Source organism: Homo sapiens, chromosome 16 (assembly GCF_000001405.40).
Source record: "Homo sapiens chromosome 16, GRCh38.p14 Primary Assembly".
In the NCBI taxonomy this organism is placed as follows: Eukaryota; Metazoa; Chordata; class Mammalia; order Primates; family Hominidae; genus Homo; species Homo sapiens.
In genome coordinates this window covers 24087896-24108227 of record NC_000016.10, presented here as the reverse complement: position 1 = coordinate 24108227, position 20332 = coordinate 24087896, and the positions used below count along the sequence as shown (strand labels likewise).

Genomic DNA, 20332 nt, shown 5'->3' with positions numbered 1-20332 from the left:
ACTGTGGAAACAAAAAGTGAAAATAAAACCTAATTAATGTTCCAATAAAAAAAAAAAGAAAAAAAAATAAACAAATGGAAATCAAGGAAATCAAGGTTATGCACGTGCAAGTAGATGGTGTTGCTTACTAAAGGCTCTCAATCGAAAGCCTGCCCCTGCCCCTTTTTAATGGGAGATCAGCGAAGAGCAAGTGTTAGAGTGTTAACGATATATCAGAGACCTCTGAGATTTTCTCTTTGCCATAATTTGAAGAACTGAAAGAACACTGACAAAATAATTGCTTTCTTGGGGCACAATTCAATATTATTTATGCCCTGACTGTGAACCATCTAGAGTATTTGGGGTCTCACACTTGGGAAAATACAGATAAAGGGGAATTGACCAGCTGTCATCCATAAAAGGTGCCCCAACAGAGCCCAATAATGACCCCGGCTGAGACCATCAATGACCGGGTGAGGGTTGCCGATTCCCATTCATATGCAAGAGGAGACATGTCAGTGCCTGGCGCAGCGGGCAGGGGCATGGTGCCACAGCGTGTGTTCACGGTGGCCAGTACGCCACAGAGTGAGTGAAGGACGCTGCCACTACTGCCTCCAAATAGGACACGTGTGCCCCCTCAGAGAGGAGCAGGACCCCTTCTGACTTTGAGATGCACAGAACCAACGTGAGGAAGATGGGCTCTCCATCTGGCTTGAGGGGTGCCTGTTATGGACCTGTCTCCACTGTAGCCCCGCCCAAATGTCAGGAACAGGACTCCTGATCTGACAAAACAGAATTCCAAAAAATACAAAAGACTCCTGTCTCCCTTTATCCAGATATGAAATGTTAGAACAAGGACACAGAAATGTCTGTGCTCACCCTTCTATAAGGATAGGCAAATAAGCACAATAGGATGTGTGAAAAATTTAGTCATTTAAATAGAAAGAAACAATGCAGAATCAAAGTAACTCCCATGAAATACAACTGCTGCCAAAAGAGAGAACATTCTAGAAACTACCTAATTCATATTTGCAGTGAGATTCAAGAGGTTGGTGCATCTGTGAAAAGGGAACAAATACGAGAGTGGGAAAGACTACTTTCGGAAGAAAAATATAATCACTGAATTAAAAAATTCATTTGAGACAGTGAACACAGCATGGATAATTCAGATAACAATTAGTCAATGAAAAGAAAAACTTGAGAAATGTTTCTGGCAAGTGGCTTGATATCTATCATATTAGATTGGAGTTGAACCGAATGCTTTATATACCATAAGAAAAATGCATATTACCAAAATTAATTTACAACATGAAAAGGAGGAGGAGGAACGTTGCAACATACATATGTCAGGAAAGACATATTAATATTCTTCTCATATAAAAAGTTCTTACAAGTCAATAAGAAAAAGGCAAAAGGACATAGTCATATATAAATATAAACAAATGGCAATATGCAAATGAAAATGTTCAACATAATTTCTAATACAATATGTGTATAATCTTTGTATCATATCTTTGAAATTTATAGCACTGGATGTTAATGTTAATAAACTGAAAAGTTTCATACAAGATTGATAAGACTGTAAATTGATTTTTAAAATTGTAGGACATTTTGGCAAACCCTTTAATAATGTGTATATGCTTAAAGTCATCAATTCCAGGCTTAGAAATTTATTAGGAAATTATTAAAGCTGGGCACAAAAGTTTTGCCACAATTATGTTTATTGCGGATTATTTTTAGGTGAAAAATGCAAGGTACCAAATAGTATGCACAGTAAGATTTCATTTTTTGCTTCACTCTCTCTCTCTATAGGGTCAATAGTGGTTATGGGCACTGGGAATCTGGGGTCTCTGAAATTCTCCAATTTCTTATATTTTTCTAATAATTATTCAATTAACAATAATGACTAACACTTACTGAGTGCTATTTAGCAGACATTGGGCACCTCACTTATATTAACTAATTTGATACTGCAACAATCCTGTGACATAATTACGACTATTATCTCCAAATGAGGAAACACAGCACAGAGAGGCGAAGTAACTTGCCAAGGGTACACAGCTAGGAAGTGGTACAGTAGAAATTCTAACCCGGGAAGTCTGATTCCAAAGCATTAGTTTTTTTTGTTTTTTGTTTTTTGCTTTTTTTTTGTAATAAGACCAAAATGTGATTATTAATAATAACAGAAAGTTTTTTTAAAAAAAAGTAATATAACACTGATTTAAGATAATAGTTATCTGTTTAGAAGGAGATGAAAAAAAAAGAATGAAATAGGAAAGAAAAAGAAAACTTTAGAAACACCATAAGAAACATGGCAATTATAGCTATAAACATTAAAACATTTTCCTGTGGAAAAAAGATCTTCAGATTCAGAATTATAAATCATCCTACTATAAAGACACATGCACATGTATGTTTATTGCAGCACTAGCTACAATAGCAAAGACTTGGAACCAACCCAAATGCCCATCAATGATAGACTGGATAAAGAAAATGTGGCATATATACACCATGGAATACTATGCAGCCATAAAAAAGGATGAGTTCATGTCCTTTGCAGGGACATGGATAAAGCTGGAAACCATCATTCTCAGCAAACTAACACAGAAACAGAAAACCAAACACTGCATGTTCTCACTCATAAGTTGAACAATGAGAACACATGGACACAAGGAAGGGAACATTACACACCGGGGCCTGTTAGGGGGTGAGGGGCAAGGGGAGGGAGAGCATTAAGACAAATACCTAATGCATGCGGGGCTTGAAATCTAGATGACAGGTTGATAGGTGCAGCAAACCACCTGGCATATGTATACCTATGTAACAAACCTGCACTTTCTGTTCATGTATCCCAGAGCTTAAAGTAAAATTTTAAAAAAAAAAGAAAAAAAGGCCAGGCTTGGTGGCTCACGCCTGTAACCCCAGCACCACTTTGGGAGGCCAAGGTGGGCAGATCATGAGGTCAGGAGTTCGAGACCAGCCTGGCCAACATGGTGAAGGCCCACCTCTACTAAAAACACAAAAATTAGATGGGTGTGGTGGCCCATGCCTGTAATCCCTGCTACTCGGGAGGCTGAGGCAGAAAAATCACTTGAATCCAGGAGGCAGAGGTTGCAGTGAGCTGAGATCGTGCCACTGCACTCCAGCCTGGGCGATAGAGTGAGACTCTGTCTCAAAAATAAAAAAAAAAAAATCCAACAACGTGCCGCTTGTTACACAAGACCAAAGGACTTAGAAAGATTAGACATAAAAGAATGGGAAAGGACCTACTAGGGAAAAGGGATCGACCACACCACAACTAGAGGACATATGCAAAGGTCAGTTCAATCTCATTAATTCCTTGGCTCCCCGTGTTCTTCAGAGTAGAAGACAAAGTCCTGACAAGGCCGACAGGATCCGCCAACCCTCTCCCCATATCCTCCAAGACCTAATCCTCCTCCACTCTCCCCTCATGGATCCAGCTCCAGCTACAGGAGTCTCCTTACTGCTCTTCCAACTTGCCGGGTGCACTCCTGCCCCAGGGCCTTTGAGCTTGCCGTCCTCGCTGCCTAAGACAACCTCTCCCTAGATATCCACACAGCTCCCTCCTCACCTGCTTTAGATCTTTGCTCTATGTTACCTTTTCAGTGAGTTCTTTCCTGAGTTCCCTATAAAATCTGAATGTCTCCACTCCCCAAGATTCCTTGTCCCCATTTCTTGTTTACTTTTCTCTATGACACTTATCAGCCTCAAACATGCCATGTTTTATTACTTATTTTTGTTCATTTACAATTGTTGTTTATTTTTCTTCAACTAAAAAGAAAACTCCATGAGGCCACGGATTCTTGTCTGTTTTGCTCATTAGTGTCTCTTCAGCACAGCAGGTGCTCACTGTGTATATTCAATGAATGAATGAATGAATGCCAGCAACAAAGTAAAATTATAGAGAAAACGCATTAGCTGCAACAAAGATAACTTCATGTCAATATAATAAGACTTGTAGAGTTATGTGGTTAATAATATTGCCATATACAGATAAGGCAAAAACCCCTAGAAATAAAAAGAATGTTTGTGAATCATTTTGCCTGAAGAAACTTAATAAACACTACACATTTAGCTCAAGCAAACAAAAGGACAATATGAAGGTATAAAAGATCTGGACCTTAGCTGGGCGTGGTGTCTCACATCTGTAATCCCAGCACTTTGGGAGGCCGAGGCGGGCGGATCACCTGAGGTCGGGAGTTCATGACCAGCCTGACCAACATGGAGAAACCCCATCTCTACTAAAAATACAAAATTAGCTGAGCGTGGTGGCACATGCCTGTAATCCCAGCTATTCAGGAGGCTGAGGCAGGAGAATAGCTTGAACCCGGAAGGCGGAGGCTATGGTGAGCCAAGATCGCGGCGTTGCACTCCAGCCTGGGCAACAAGAGTGAAACACCGCCTCAGAAAAAAAAGATCTGGACCTTATAATACATTGGAATGAATAAATGTATACCCTACACTCATGGACATAAAGATGACAACAACAGACACTAGGAACTGTAGAGGGGAGAGGGGAGGGGAAGACAAGGATTGAAAAACTAACTGTTGGGTACTATGCTCAGTACCTGGGTGACGGAATCATTCATACCCCAAACCTCAGCATCATGCAATATACCCAGGTAACAAATTTGTACATGTATCCCGTGAATCTAAAATAAAAGTTGAAAAAAGGTTTATTCTTTCTCCACAAAAAAGTATACTCTACGAATAGCTAATATAATCTTTTTCTTGCAAGTCCACAGAACTTTTAACAACATTGAACAAATACTAAGCTATGCTGAAAGAAAGGAAAGAAAACAGGAGGGAAAAAGAAAAGTGCACAGGCCATATTCTCTAACTTGAAAGCACTAAAACAGTAACTTAACATTAATATTAAAAATTTAAACAAAAATCTAATTCTAGGGGTTAAAAAAAATGCCTAAATTAAAGCATGTTAGAAAAGAAACTAAAACCTCAACTGCAGGCCCTCAAGGAAGTAGCAAAAGCCAGAATGTTAGCATATCAAAACTCAGAGGAAACATTTATTCCCTTAAATGCTTGTTCATTATTTTTGGCCACGTGCGGTGGTTCACACCTGTAATCCCAACACTTTGGGAGGCCGAAGTGAGAGGATGACCTGAGGTCAGGAGTTCGAGACCAGCCTGGCCAACATGGTGAAACCTTGTCTCAACTAAAAATACAAAAATTAGCCGGGTGTGGTGGCAGGCACTTGTAATCCTGGCTACTCAAGAGGCTCAGTCAGGAGAGTCGCTTGAACCTGCAGAGACTGTGCCACTGCACTCCAGCCTGGGCATCAGAGCAAAACTCCGTCTCAAAACAAACAAACAAAAAAGCTATTCATTATTTTTAAAGAGCAGAGTCAGGCGAAAGAAGAAAAAATAAATTAGTAAAATGTTCAACTGAAAGTCAAAGCCAAACACAAAATAAACCTACAGAAAAGGAGAAAACAAACAAAATTGATACACAAATCCCAGAGTTAATTCCTTGAAGAAAATAAATAAGTAAATAAAACAGATGAACCTCTGGAAAATGAAGGGGAAAGAAAGGAGACAGTATAAATAAACAAAATTAGAAACAAAGAGGCGGATTTGTCAACAGATACAGGGCAGTTGGCCAAGAGGCAGACAGGGGGCCTGGGGCTGGTGCACCACATCTGATAGCTTCCACAGCTGCATCTGCTGTTTCTGCCACACGGTCTTCAATTACAGCACAACAGAAGAGCTGATGGAGCCCATCCCCTTCTAAATGGTGAATCTGAGTTTCAGAAAGGGTGTGAGACTTGCTCAAGATCACATAATGTTCAAAGAATCCCAGGGGCAAGAATCCAAATGTCTAGGATCTGGTCCATTTACAGTCAAGACAGCATCGCAAATGTCTTGGCCGTAAATCTGAGGAGGACTTTTATCTGCAAAAATCTGCAGAGGGCTTTTATTTTGGAAAAGTTCCCTTCCAACTATTATGTCATCAACTTCACAGCTATCCTAAGTGGTGGATGGAGGACAGGGGGTGTTGTAATCAATCTGATGGGTGGCATATCTGCTGTGAAAGCTGTAGTACAGAGAGGTGAAGTGGCTCACCTGAGGTCACAAAGCATCCATCCAGTCAGGAAAGCCGAAATAAAATCCCAGCTGTCTACCCTCTAGCCTTCCACCTAACCCTGTATCAGGAGGCAGAATGGAATTTGTATATGCTTAGGCTCTGGCATCATAGAAATCTGGACCTGAACCCAGCACCGTTGCTTACAAGCTGTGTATCCCTAACACACTGCTGAACTATTCTGAGCCTTGGAAATGATGAAACCTAGAATAACTGGAGAATTAAATGATCATCTAAGTGTAAATGCAGTAATATTTTGGGCTTACTCCTGATACACTATCCCTATTCTTAAGCCGTTTTTTTCTTCCCTGCTCTCAGCCTTAGGGGAGTAGACAAGGCAGGCACTAGCCCAGGAAGAAGGATATGGCATGTGTGGGAGTTAAACCACTTTTGCAAAAATTATGACAGTAAGAGAAATATGACATAGAAAAGCTATGACAGTGTAAGAAATCGGACCTAACTAACTCCATCTGCTTCTAATCTCCAAGCTATCCTTGTCCATTCCTGGGCCTAGGCCAAGCTAACTATGGGAAGAAGTTAGTTTCAGTTCAACTTCATTTTTTATTTGTATTTGTTTCTTTATTTACTTTGAGACAGGGTCTTTCTCCATTGCCTAGGCTGGAGTGCGATGACACAATCACAGCTCATTGCAGCCTCAACCTCCTGGGCCCAAGTGATCCTCCCACCTCAGGCTCCTGAGTAGCTGGGAGCACAGGTGCATGCCGCCATGCCTGGCTAAATTTTTTGTTGAGACAGGATCTCATTGTTGCCCAAGCTGGTCTCTAACTCCCGAACTGAAGCAATCCTCCCACCTTGGCACTCCCAAAGTGCGGGGATTACAGATATGAGCCACCACACCTGGCCATTCGTTTAACTTTAAAACAAAGACGATAACAGCTCCTTCCCAAAACTAACCATCTCCTTGCTTGGGGACTAAAACTGCCTTTGTAAAACTAACATATTAGCCACAAAGTTAGAATTCTGGCTCCAGAGACATGTAGCCAGAGGTCACAAGATTCAGGATCTCCCCAATTGCTCCTATAGATAAAATCACTATTATAGACCTAAAATTGGTGTTTGAAATATTTTCCAGACCCTGCATTCTGATGGACCAGCTGGTGCAACCCAGACTGGGAATCCATACAACGAAACTGGCTTACCTGGTCTTGTGATCCTCACCCAGGAACTGACTCAACATGAGAAGACAGCTTTGACCCCCTATGATTTCACTCTCAACCCACCAATCAGCATTCCCCATTCCCTAGCCCCCACTTACCACTAAACTGTCCTTGAAAAACCCTAGTCTTTGAATTTTGGAGGAGGCTGATTTGAGTAATAAACTCCCATCCTTCAGCTTGGCTGGCACTGTGTTTATTAAACTCTTTCTCTGCTAAAATATTGCCGTCTCAGTGAATCAGCTCTAGATGAACTCATTGGGTGATTGTAGGAGAAGCCCCTCCCTTTGGGGCTTGGAGAACCTTGGGAAGGAGAAAGGACAGGTGGTGGGGAGAGGTGGGTTTCCCTCCTCCTCGGCTGGAACGCTGGCCAGAGACCTATCCATGCACCAGGCAACATCATTCCAGCAGCAGCAGAAGGAGCAGAAAAGACTCCTCAGGGGGAGGACTCAGGCAGGTTCCTGGCCTCCCTGAACCAGGCCCAGCAGTGGCCTATGAGTGGGACAGAGAGGGTGCTGCATGGAGGGAACTCACAAGGAGAAGCAACAGGCCAGGATCTTCAGCACAAAGCCAGAATGATGCCCCAAAGCTAGGTGGGACCAGTCCCACTTCAGTGGGCGCTGGTTTAGGAACGTAGGCTAAAAATAAAATCTTAAGGCCCCCCACTGACAGAACAGACCCCCTCCTCGGCCAAGAGGATCTAAGAAAAACCTTAAAAACAGAATTATCAGCCATGAGAGAAAGGAGATTGGACACGTCTTGTTATGCCTCCTTTCTTTGGGAGTTTATATACAACAATGGACTGACATGAATGTTAAAGTAGAGATCATAAGACTGACAAAACAGACTCTTTGTGGCAATAAAATATCAGATTATAAACAGGACTAACGCCAGGCCAGGCAAAGGTGAAGTTGCACCATAAGCAAGCCATCTTGCTGCACAGCATCCTCAACTTAAACACTCTTTTTTTTTTTTTTTTTTTGAGATGGAGTCTCACTCTGTCACCCAGGCTGGGTGTAGTGGCGGGATCTCAGCTCACTGCAACCTCCGCCTCCTGCGTCAAGCAATTCTCCTGGTCAGCCTCCAGAGTAGCTGAGATTACAGGCATGTGCCACCACAACTTGCTAATTTTTTTGCATTTTTAGTAGAGACGGGGTTTCACCATGTGGGCCAGGCTGGTCTCGAACTCCTGACTTCAAATGATCCACCTGCCTCGGTCTCCCAAAGTGCTGGGATTGCAGGCATGAGCCACCACGCCCAGCCAACATAAAATATTTCTTTCTGTTAACTCCAAGTTTTAGCAAAGTCTTACTCTAACCAACTGCAAATTAAAGAATCTCCTATAACCCATAAGCCCCATTTAAAGCTATCCTGCCTTTTGGGCCCAAACCAATGTATAATCTCCATGTATTGATTTATGTCTTTGCCTGTAACTTCTGCCTCCCCAGAACATGTAAAACCAAACTGTAATCTAACCACCTCAGGACCACTTATTCAAAGCTTCTTGGGTTTGTGTTTCCCCAGGCCACAGTCACTTATATTGACTCAGAATAAACTTCTTTAAAATATTTTACAGAGCTGGGTTTTGCTGTTAACAGTGACCAGTCAGAAAAGTGAAACAGTGAAGCTCAGAAAGTACCACATGCAGCATATAGAGTCCCTTCTCCTCGGTCACCAGGAGCTCACAAAAGTGCATGAGAAAGTCTAAGTCCATTATAGAAAAGAAATAAGCTTTATTTTTTCTGCACACCTGATCAGTGCTGTGTAAAATTGTGACTCCACGACATCTGGAAAAGCTCAACCCAGAGCCTGGCATCTATTAAGAGTCAATGAGTAGTAGCTATTGTTATTATAATTATTATTATTATGTTTCCTCCTGTCACACTGATACCCCCTGAGGATCATGCATTCTTTCTCTTTAACCTCTTTAAGTTTGATTTAAAATGAGAATGAAACATCCACTGTGAGTAACTGATGTACACCCTGCAAAGTCAAGTCATTTGCATGTTAGGGAAAAATATCCAAAGCTTGGGGGAAAAAGAAAACCAAAAAGATGACCGTGTGAACTTTTAATGTCATGCTAGAGCATTTTCTAATTAGCTATTTCTTTCCTCACAGTAATATTACTTTGTTTAGTTTATTATTCACCATCAGGTCAGCCCCAGATGGCCTCCCTAGTCTGCAAAGATACATGTTAACTTTTAGAAAACTGAGGTGAAATCTTTGCCCAGGCTGGAGTGCCGTGGCACCATCTCAGCTCACTGCAACCTCTGCCTCCTGGGTTCAAGCGATTCTTCTGCCTCAGCCTCCCGAGTAGCTGGGAATACAGGCACCTGCCACCATGCCCAGCTAATTTTTGTATTTTTAGTAGAGACATGGTTTCACTATGTTGGCCAGGCTCGTCTCAAACTCCTGACCTCAGGTGATCCGCCCGCCTCAGCCTCCCAAAGTGTTGGGATTACAGGTGTGAGCCGCCATGCCTGGCCAAAATCTTTTTTTTGTTTCATTCTAGTAGATAACCCCAAAGCTTATGATTCTATTGTCCTGTATATCAGTCAGTTTTATATTTAACTGAGCAAAGTTATTTCAGCATATCTTTTTCTACTGACTACACGAACATCAGTTTATCAAACCTTCTGTGGAATCATTCATTCATCCTGCTGCTTTTCTCCTTAGTGAGCTAAGGAAATCTTTGGCCAATGCCCATTAATGCCCATTATCTATCTTATGAGAACTATGTTTTTAACCATTTGTGAATTGTGCTTTAACACAACTCTTTTGGGGTACATTCTGTAAACCAAAATAAAATTCTAAGCCCCCTAGCCATGTAAATGGACCCCTTCTCTCAGCCAAGGGCATTCCAAAGTTAACCTGAAAAACTGTTTCAGGCCATGATGAGAAGGGAGAGTCAGACACGATGTCTCATTATATCCCCTTCCTTTTGGAATTCAGGAAAAGCCAACCAGCATTAACATCAACACAGACCTTAAGTCTGATAAGAAACAATTACCATCTAGTCTCTCTGAAGCCTGCTACCTGGAGGCTTCATCTTCATGATAAAACTTTGGTCTCCACAACTCCTTATGTAACCCAGACATTCCTTTCTATTGATAACAGCTCATTCAACCAATTGCCAATCAGAAAATTGTAAAATCTACCTATGACCCGGAAGCACCTCCCCGTCCCACTTTTAGTTGTCCTGCCTTTCCAGATTGAGCCAATGTAAATCTCACATGTATTGATTGATGTCTTACGTCTCCCTAAAATGTATAAAAGCAAGTTGTACCCCATCCACCTTGGGCCCATGTCATCAGGATCTCCTGAGTCTGTGTCACTGGCACATCCTTAACCTTGGCAAAATAAACTTTCTAAACTGATTGAAATCTGTCTCAGATACTTTTGGGTTCAAAACTCTCAGCTCCTGTCTTCTTCACATCTTCCATCATGTTGTCATTGATTTGTCATTTGCGTAATTCCTTGTTCAATGTTTATCTCCCCAACCCACCCTCTGCCATAAGCTAAGCTCCATGAAGTCATGTCTGTCTTATACCTCCATGTGTTTCTAGTGACCAGCACCTAGTGGACACTCAATATATGTTTCAAGAAAAGCCTAAGATAGGCTGGGCACGGAGGCTCACACCTGCAATCCCAGCACTTTGGGAGGCCAAGGCAGGCAGATCACAAGGTCAGGAGATCGAGATCATCCTGGCTAACATGGTGAAACCCCATCTCTACTAAAATTACAAAAAATTAGCTGGGCGTGGTGGCGGGCACCTGTAGTCCCAGCTACTCGGGAGGCTGAGGCAGGAGAATTGCTTGAACCCAGGAGGCAGAGGTTGCAGTGAGCCGAGATCACACCACTGCACTCCAGCCTGGGTGACAGAGCAAGACTCCGTCTCAAAAAAAAAAAAAAAAAAAAAAGGCCTAAGATGAAACATGGAGCCAAGACAAGGAAGTCATAAGGTGAACAATGGAAAGGAAAGATGTGTGTGTGGTCCAAAGGACACATCTCTTTCTCGCTAAACCAGTTTGATTTTTATTTTCTTTCACTTGAAGCTGAAAAGGTCCTGAATGAGACAATTCAGATATGAGACAATTTATCTTAAAGAAGTAATAGCAGCCCAATTGCCACTTCTCCCAAAGTTATAGTGCCAGGTTAAGCTATTTCTTCTGACTCCTTGACTCAGTTAACTGTGAAACAGTTGCCAAGGGGGCTTACCCAGCCTCTCTGTTGGTAACATTGGAGGATATATATATATATATATATATATATATATATATATATATTTTTTTTTTTTTTTGCCATAGGAAGGGAGCAAAATAAAATCTTCAGGACAAAGGAGACACAGCAGCTGACTATGAAAACAACACCCCAGTACATCTATGATCTGTGGCCAGACTTGCTAAGGACTCCCAAGGAAGCGGTAGCTTCTCAGACACCATCTGACAGTGGGTTGCTCATATCTTTCAGGTGAAGTGTACAAGCCACTCTAGTGTCCATGGAGCCAGTCATGGAACTGTCTTTGCAGAAATTGTAACAGGGAGAAAATGATGACGTCAGTGAAAGAGATTTGATCTAACCAACCCCCAGCTTGCCTTTAACCTCCAAACTGCCCTTACGCTTTCCTGGGCTCGGGCCAAGTTAACTTTGTGACAAATTTAGTGTTTATTTTATTTTATTTCATTTTATTTTGAGATGGAGTCTTGCTCTGTCACCCAGGCTGGAGTGCAGTGGCATGATCTCGGCTCACTGCAACCTCCGCCTCCCTGGTTCAAGTGATCCTCACATGCCAGCACACCCAACTAATTTTTGTATTTTTAGTACAGACAGGGTTTCACCATGTTGGCCAGGATGGTCTCGATCTCCCGATCTCGTGATCCACCCACCTCGGCCTCCCAAAGTGCTGGGAATACAGGGGTGAGCCACTGCGCCCGGCCTAGTGTACATTTTAAATGATAATAGCCCTTGCCCAAAACTAAACTACCTTCATAAAGCTAATGAGGGACCATGAGGTTAGGAGGATGAGAGGAGCCTGAATTCTGCTAAGGTGTAGACATAAAGGATTACCAGCCATTATTCCAGAGGTCACAAGATTTGCAACTTTCCCAATGACCCCCGCAGATAAGATCACTATTGTAGACTGGCCTTTTGAGATGTCTCTTCAGGTTTTTTTGCATTTCTCGTAACCAATGGCTCCACCCCGACCAGACCGCCAACCTAACTTTGAAAGAAATTTGTTGTATATTTTAAATTATGACAGCCCTTTCCCAAAACTAAACTGCCTTTGTAAAACTAATGAAATATTGCCAAGTTAGGAGAATGAAAGGAGCCTGAATTCTGCTAAGATGTAGACATGGATTATTATCAGCCTTTATCCCAGAGCTCACAACACTTCCAACTTCCTAAGTTACTCCTACAGATAACATCACTACTGTAGAACTTGAGATTGGCCTTTTGAGATGTCTTTTCAGGCTTTTGCCTTCCTGACAACCAGACTGCCCCACCTGGACCTGCCAACTAGTCCTGTGGCCCCACCCAGAAGTGGACTCAGTGCACGAGGACCATTTTTCACACCCCTATTACTGCATCCCCAACCAGTCAGCAGCACCCATTCCCTAGCCACCCTACTCCTTGCCAAACTATCTTTGAAAAGCCCTAGCTTCCAAATTTTCAGGGAGGCTGATTTGAGTCATAAAAAAACTCTGTTCTCCCATTTAGCTGGCTCTATGTGTGTAAAACTCTTTCCCTATTGCAATTCTCCCATCTTGATAAATCGGCTCTGTCTGGGCAGCAGGCACAAAGAAGCCACTGGGCAGTTACAGTCTCATCATGTAGTTTAGTAAATTGGCCCAGATGTAATAAAATAGGGAGTGGTGAGGACGGTGACAAATAGAAAATCCATGTCCTGTCTAAAGGGGGCATTAACTATTCAACTGTTCTCAATTGTTGCCTTCTAGCCCCAGATTTTTAAAATACTAGAACTAATTCCCTCCCTCCCTCCTTCTGTCCCTCCTTCCCTTCCTCCCTTCCTTCCTTCCTGCTTTCCGTCTTTCTTTCTTCTTTCTTTCTTCTTCCTTTCCCTTTCCCTTTTTCTTCCTTTCCTTCCTTCCTTCCTTCCTTCCTTCCTTCCTTCCTTCCTTCCTCCCTCCCTTCCTTCATTCCTTCTCTCTCTCTCTCTTTCTTTTTTATCACTCTGTCACCCAGGCTGGAGTGCAGTGGCTCAATCTCTGACCACCTTGCTCACTGCAACCTCTGCCTCCAGGGTTCAAGTGATCCTCCCATCTCAGCCTCCTGAGTAGCTGGAACTACAGGCACACACCACCATGCCCAGCTAATTTTTCATGTTTTTGATAGAGATGGGGTTTCACCATGTTGCCCAGACTGGTCTTAAACTCCTGAGCTCAAGTGATCTACCTGCCTCGGCCTCCCAGAGTGCTGGGATGACAGGTGTCAGACACGAGGCCTGGCCTCTTTCTTTTTTGTTTTTAGTACAAGGACCAAACAAAACATATCTGCAAGGCAGATCCAATCAACCAGACTTCACTTTGGGACTCTGTTTTAGTATTTCAATTTTTGGAGAAAAAGGAAAACATACTTGACCCCGCGTTTGATGGAGCAAGCTGTATGGTAGCTTTCAAGGCAAAATCTTACTTACCAGCCATCAACACTGGCTTTCTGAAGTTCAGAAATCCCAAAGGACAAAGATCCCATGAAGTCATTCCTGCTGGTCAAATCCCAATCCCAAATCTCTACTGACAGTCTTCTGTCTTTGTCCGATTCTTTCAGCTGACTGCATAGAGAAAAAGAAAAGACATCAGTGGAGGTTGTAGTAATTTCTCAAGCAGAATAAATGTACAAGAGGACAAGACCTGGAGGTAGAAAGTTTTAAAGATTACAAGCTGCTGAAAGAAACATATTCAGTTTCCATCCCAGGCTAGCTCTCCAGGGAGTGAGAGCTTTTTCTGTTTGACAGCCTGTGGCTTAAACAGGCAGAGGTCTTAGACTGGCTATGACAAGAACAGTTCTAACTACTTTTGTTATCTTATGTCTTAATAGGGTTCAGGATATTCAGGAATTCCTATTGCCTATAAGAAATACAGATATCAATTGCATAATTGGGTGTGTACATGTGTATATCTGCACACAGGTGGGTTGAGAATGAGGCTGAGGAAATGCATGGAGAAAAATCCTGGGGAAATTGTCTGTTCTGAGACATGTCCTTGACTGAGGCTGAGAAGGGGCCCAGCTTTGCCCTGAGAGAGGGAAGAGGAGACAGGACAAGGAACTGTGCTTCTAGCTGGTGGCTAAAAAAGTATGACCGCTAAAGTCAGACTGCCAGAAGCTGAATCCCACTCCACCCCATATTTGCTATGGGACTTTGGGCATACTCTTTAACCTCTATAAGCCCTATTGCTACATTGGGAATAAAATGAGCCGATGAAGTCGGATCGCTTAACCCAGTGTTTGTCACACATCATATATGCTCAGTGAATTGGCTGTTATAACCAACTCCTGATGCCTAGATGTACAAGAAAGAGACTCCCAGATTCTTGGAGCCCTGGCCAGGGAAGACCCTCAAGGGAGGCTGGTGGAGATGTCCCAGAAGGCTGCAGGCCAAGCATCATCCATAAACCCAACTCTAGAGAGGCTGTCACCACACCCTGTAGGTTATGTTCCCCTATTTGCTGAGCCCCATCATTTCTCCCACAACTTGCCTTCACTTAGCAACACATCACACCATTTCCTGTCCTACCCACTCCCCCACACCACAGGCATTCTCATCTCTATTAAAAAAATAGCTCTAATTTTTTTTCTTGGCTCACAATACAAAATTGCAGATGGAAAAGAAGGGAGGGAAAGATAGGAGTGAGGGATGGAGAAGACAGAAAAGGAGGGAGGTAGGGAAGGAAGGAAACAGGAGCTAAGGGAGGAGGAACTCCCTGATTTCAGGTGGCACATAACCCAACCTCCACCACCCATGCTCACTGCAGTCATTTCCACTTACAATCTAAATGTCTCATTCCACTCAGGGTTGAGGGAGCATTTGATGGTTTTGGTCTTCTGTTTGCTCTCACTTTTGGGATCGGGAATCAGTTTCAGTTTTACGTAGGGATCTGACAGGCCATTGGGGTCCATAGGTACAAGGTTTTTAGCATCTCTTACTGAAAAAGAAAAAGCAGTTTTTGCATTAATACTGTCCAACATGTTTAAGCACCAAGCAGTGACAGCTGCAGAACTTGTGGAAGGTTCTTTGGCATCACACTTGTTTAGTGAGAAATTTAATTTTATTAACATCCATAGCTGAAGCAGTGCACAAAATGAGATGGGCTGATAAGATGTCAACTCTGGTCTGTGTTGGTTAAAAATGGATTTCTGACTTTTACACTGCTCTTCCCATACCAAGATTAACTGTAAGTTTTCTAAGCTTATTTTCCACAAAGCCCACAGGAAAGGCTGGCTTCTTTCATTTAGCATAACGTTTTCAAAGTTCACCACATTATAGCATGTATCAGCACTTCATTTTTTTGCATGACTGAATAATATTCCATTGTATAGATATCCCACATTTTGTTTATCCATTCAGCAGTTGATGCATAGTTGGGTTGTTTCCACTTTTTGGCTGTTGTGAATACTGCTGCTATGAACATTTGTGTACCCCAACACAAAAGGTCACATATTGTATGATTCCATTTACATGAAACATCCCAAACAGGTAAATCCATAGAGACAGAAAGTAGACTACTATTAATAGTTGCCAGAGGCTGGAGGGAAAGGGAAATGGGGAGTGACTGCTTAATGAGTACAGGGTTTCTTTTAGAGGTGATGAAAATTTCTGAGAACTAGATAGAGATGATGGTTGTCCAACACTGTGAATATTCTATAAATGTCACTGAATTGTACGTTTAAAAACAGTTAATGGTTAATTTTATGTTACGTTAATTTTACCTCCATTCAAAAAGAAAAAGCTAAAGAAAGGAAGAATTACCCTCTAAACCAAGGTACACCTATTATCCATGTATCACCCATAACCAGCACCCAGACAGCCCATAGAGAGAAGGCTGGAACAATGTCAGCAGCATTAGAGCTCAGCTCCACCCTGACTCCAGAACACCCAGGTAAAGAGGCTATAAGGCTAACATGGTGAAACCCTGTCTCTACTAACAATACAAAAAAATTAGCCAGGCATGGTGGCAGGTGCCTGTGGTCCCACCTACTTGGGAGGCCCAGGCAGGAGAATGGCATGAACCCAGGAGGCAGAGCTTGCAGTGAGCCAAGATCATGCCACTGCACTCCAGCCTGGGCGACAGAGTGAGACTCCGTCAAAAAAAAAAGATGAACTTACAGGAGAAAAGGAGGCAGGGAATCAGCAGTGAAGATGCAACTGGCTATAGAAAGGATGAGGGAGACTAAATCATCAGCTTGGAGAAACAGGAAGTAGTTAATTAGGAATCAATTCAGAAACCAGTAATGCAGGTAGTCAATGGAAGCAGACTAGAAAATGAGAATTGCACAGCTCTTAAGGATACAATGTCAATCATCTCACTTACAGTAGAACAATCCACAGTAATACATTCAATCCAAATCGACTCTAACTATCTGCTAAAAGGTGAATACATAATGACTCCTATCAGGAATGCAAAGATGGTTCAATCTTAGGAAATCTATTTTCAATATATTCATCATATTTATAGATCAAAGAAGAAAACCATAAGATCATTGTAGTTATCTAGAAACAGCAGAGAATTTTAACAGGATAAAGGCTATCTGAAATAACAGCACCATGGTTCATGATAAATGCAATTCCATTAAAGTAAGGAATAAGACAAAGATATCCATTACCATAGCCATTATTTAATACTTTTTTTTCTCGTGTTCCATAAGTGCAGTAAGAAATAAAGAGTTACCCTCTAAACCAAGATGCACCTATTATCCATGTATCACCCATAACCTGCACCCAGACAGCCCATAGGGAAAAGGCTGGAAAAATATCCACAGCATAAATAAAACCAGAAATTTTGTAAACTCAAGATAACAAGAAAAACAGATTAGAAGAAAGAATATTGGAAAGTAGGAGAGAAAGCACCCCCTCATTTCCTGCAACCTTTGCTCACCCCCAATCATAGTTATCTCCTACCATGGTCACGCTCTGGAGCCTATTATCCCAGAAATTATACCACTTTCTCAATCTCAGTTTCAAGTACCCTACTATCTTACACCAATTTCTATTTTTCCAATTCATTAGTTCTATTATTCTACTGCAATAAATCTTCCCCTATTCGTCAGTCCATTCTCCACCAATCAGTCCCTCGAACCCAACACATTCTCTTGATCTCCCTATTCCCTCTTGCTTTTACTCCATTCATATCCAGATTCAATTTTATGGTGCATTTTAGCTACTCCTTTGGAAAGACCCTCAACTCCCTTGCCCCTCTTTCTTTTTATTTTACTTGTCTCACATGACCCCAGCCCTACTTAAATTCAAATACCTGTCCTTTCTTACTCTGTCCTTTTCCTACACTCAAACAGCTGACCATTGCTGGAAAATAAATAAGACTGACTTCCCTAAAATGATACAGCTAGTAAGGGGTTGAGACCGAATAAATGAGATGGGAGAAGCATTGAATCGGCTACCAGGATCAAGCTGTAACTTATTCTGTGCTGACATTTTTTCTGCACTCCAGCAACATGGCAGTGTCTTCTATTTTTCCACAGGCTGAATTCATCTCCCATCTCAGCTTGCAAGCTGCATCTCATTTTTACACCAAAAGCAAGATGTTGACCTTGATCAGTTAAGTTCAACAAGCAAGTCCCTACTAAGTGCTAAGCATTCTGCTAGGCCCTGGGGATATAGGGGACAAAATAAAATGTTAATCTTGTCCCCAAGACAGACCATATAGTGTCATGGACACAGGGCTATAAGATCCCAGGGTCCGCATCTTACCAAGCAGTTACTTCACACATATGAACCTCAATTTCTTGATCAATAAAATAGGTTGTTACAAGAGTAAAATTGGATAAAGAATATACATGTTTAGCACAGAACCTGGAACTTAAAAAATACTCAATAAATGTTAACTGCTATATATTACTGCTATTTCATTATTATTCTTATTCATATGCAATGCCCTCTTTCACTACGTTTTTGTTGTGTGTGTGTGTGTGAGAGAGAGAGAGAGAGAGACAAGGTCTCACTCTGTCACCCAGGCTGGAGTGCAGTGGCATGATCATGGTTCACTGCAGCCTCGACCTCCCGGGCTCAAGTGATCCTCCCAACTCAGCCTTCCAAGTAGCTGGGACTACAGGTGCTTGCCAACCTATGCCTAACTAATTTTTAAAAAAATTTTTGTAGAGGTGGGGGTCTCTCTATGTTGCCCAGACTGGTTTCAAACTCCTGGATGCAAATGATCCTCTAGCCTTGGTCTCCCAAAGTGCTAGGATTACAAGTGTGAGCCACCATGCCTTGCCTGTTTGTCTATTTTTATTATGAAGAGTTAACCATTTCCACACGTACTGACATCAAATGGAACCATTTGTGGTTTTCTTCTTAACAATGCATTCGATGTTTACTCGAACCCTTCCACAGGAGAGCTTCTTAAACCTTAGTGTGCATAAAAATTACTCAGAGGACTCATGAGACACATGTATCTGGCACCCACCCCCACAGATAGATTCTGATTCCCTAAGTCTGCAGTGAAACCTGTCCATATGCTTTTCTAAAACATTTCCATGTGATGCTGATGCTGCCAGTCTATAAGACACACATTAAGTAACATTGTTCTGGAGAATAATAATTTCTCAAAATACCCATGCATTTTCCCCATAGAATATAATATCCAACTGTTACTTTCATTTCTTGAGCCTTCCAAGGAAAATAACATGTACCAGTTTCTAGGCTGGGATCTTGGAGTGACACATCTATCACATAGTGAGCTGCACACACACAGGATTGAGACACTCAGATGCGCCAGAAGCTTGTCTGTCTGGTTGATTGGTAACACAGAGGCAAGAGGAAACAGCTCATCTTTCTTCTCCCTGGCAAGGCCACTCCCCCTCCTCCGCCCCAGTCTTATGAACTGACACCACAAGGGTAGTCACTGGAAAAAGATCTTCTATCATAAGCTTAAGGAATTTACAGCTCTTTTAGAGTGCTCTTTGCTGGACAAGAGTGTTGTATTTTGAAGCTGTCAATCTCAAGACTCGTGGTTTAAGAGCAATTTTTTTTTTTTTTTTTTTTTTTGACACAGGGTCTCGCTGGAGTGCGGTGGCGCGATCACGGCTCACTGCAGCCTTGATCTCCCAGGATCAAGCGATGCTACCACCTCAGCACCCTGAATAGCTGGGACTACAGGCATGTGCCACTACATCCAGCTAACTTTTAAAAAATTTTTGTAGAGATGGAGTCTCACTATGTTACCCAGGCTGGTGTCAAACTCCTGGCCACGAGTGATCCTCCCGCTTCGGCCTCCCAAAGTGCTGGGATTACAGGTGTGAGCCACTGTGTGCAGCCAAGAATGACCTTTTCTTGGGAATCTAATCATTGCAGAGCCAAACATTACTCACTGAGGCATGACTCTTCCCTCACCTTTATAGGTCCTTTCTTCTACTTTTGTCCTTTTGAGCTTATTCTCTACCAAAGGGGCCAAAACTTTCTGTGCAACGGAATGCTGTGGAATGCATCCTGAGACTGCTGGCATTCACATCTCCAAGAGCTCTGGCTACTAAAACCATCTATCATGAGCAGTTGACAGTAGCTGCAGGCTAAGATCCAAAGGGCTGTCCCTCCTGAAGTGTTTCAAAGTTGAGTCGTGTTTCCCAGCAGCAAGAGAGCCGCATATGTATCGCGGAAGCAAATCTCTCTAGACCACACTTGGCGAGACCGACTTTGATTTTTCTTGATAAATGTTTCTTTACTATCTTTGTTGAAACTCAGCCAGCCCAGATGGTACCAAATGCTTCACACAGAGCAGAAATAGCAAACGTCCCCACTGGTGGAAGTTTGCAAAGAGTACAGGAGAAGCGTGTCCTGGTCCAGAGAACACTGCTTGCCGTGGGCATG

The 20332-nt window shown here is 42.3% G+C and overlaps 1 protein-coding gene across 3 annotated transcripts in view, besides 1 other annotated feature; it reads right to left on the bottom strand.

The window, feature by feature from the left end:
* The window catches only part of PRKCB (protein kinase C beta), a 384629-nt gene that overhangs the window by 112384 nt on the left and 251913 nt on the right, over nucleotides 1-20332 (bottom strand). For all 3 annotated transcript variants that reach the window (NM_002738.7, NM_212535.3, XM_047434365.1), the window contains 2 exons: nucleotides 15281-15437; nucleotides 13931-14065 (listed from right to left, as the gene is read on the bottom strand). In NM_002738.7, coding sequence (NP_002729.2) covers nucleotides 13931-14065; nucleotides 15281-15437 — 292 coding nt within the window. The remainder of the gene's footprint in view (nucleotides 1-13930; nucleotides 14066-15280; nucleotides 15438-20332) is intronic.
* Nucleotides 37-536: an enhancer, noted in NCBI's record as "NANOG-H3K4me1 hESC enhancer chr16:24119013-24119512 (GRCh37/hg19 assembly coordinates)". NCBI's record gives its function as "activates a minimal SCP1, AML or CMV promoter by ChIP-STARR-seq in primed H9 embryonic stem cells {active_cell/tissue: H9 hESC(primed)}" and the evidence as "EXISTENCE:reporter gene assay evidence [ECO:0000049][PMID:30033119]".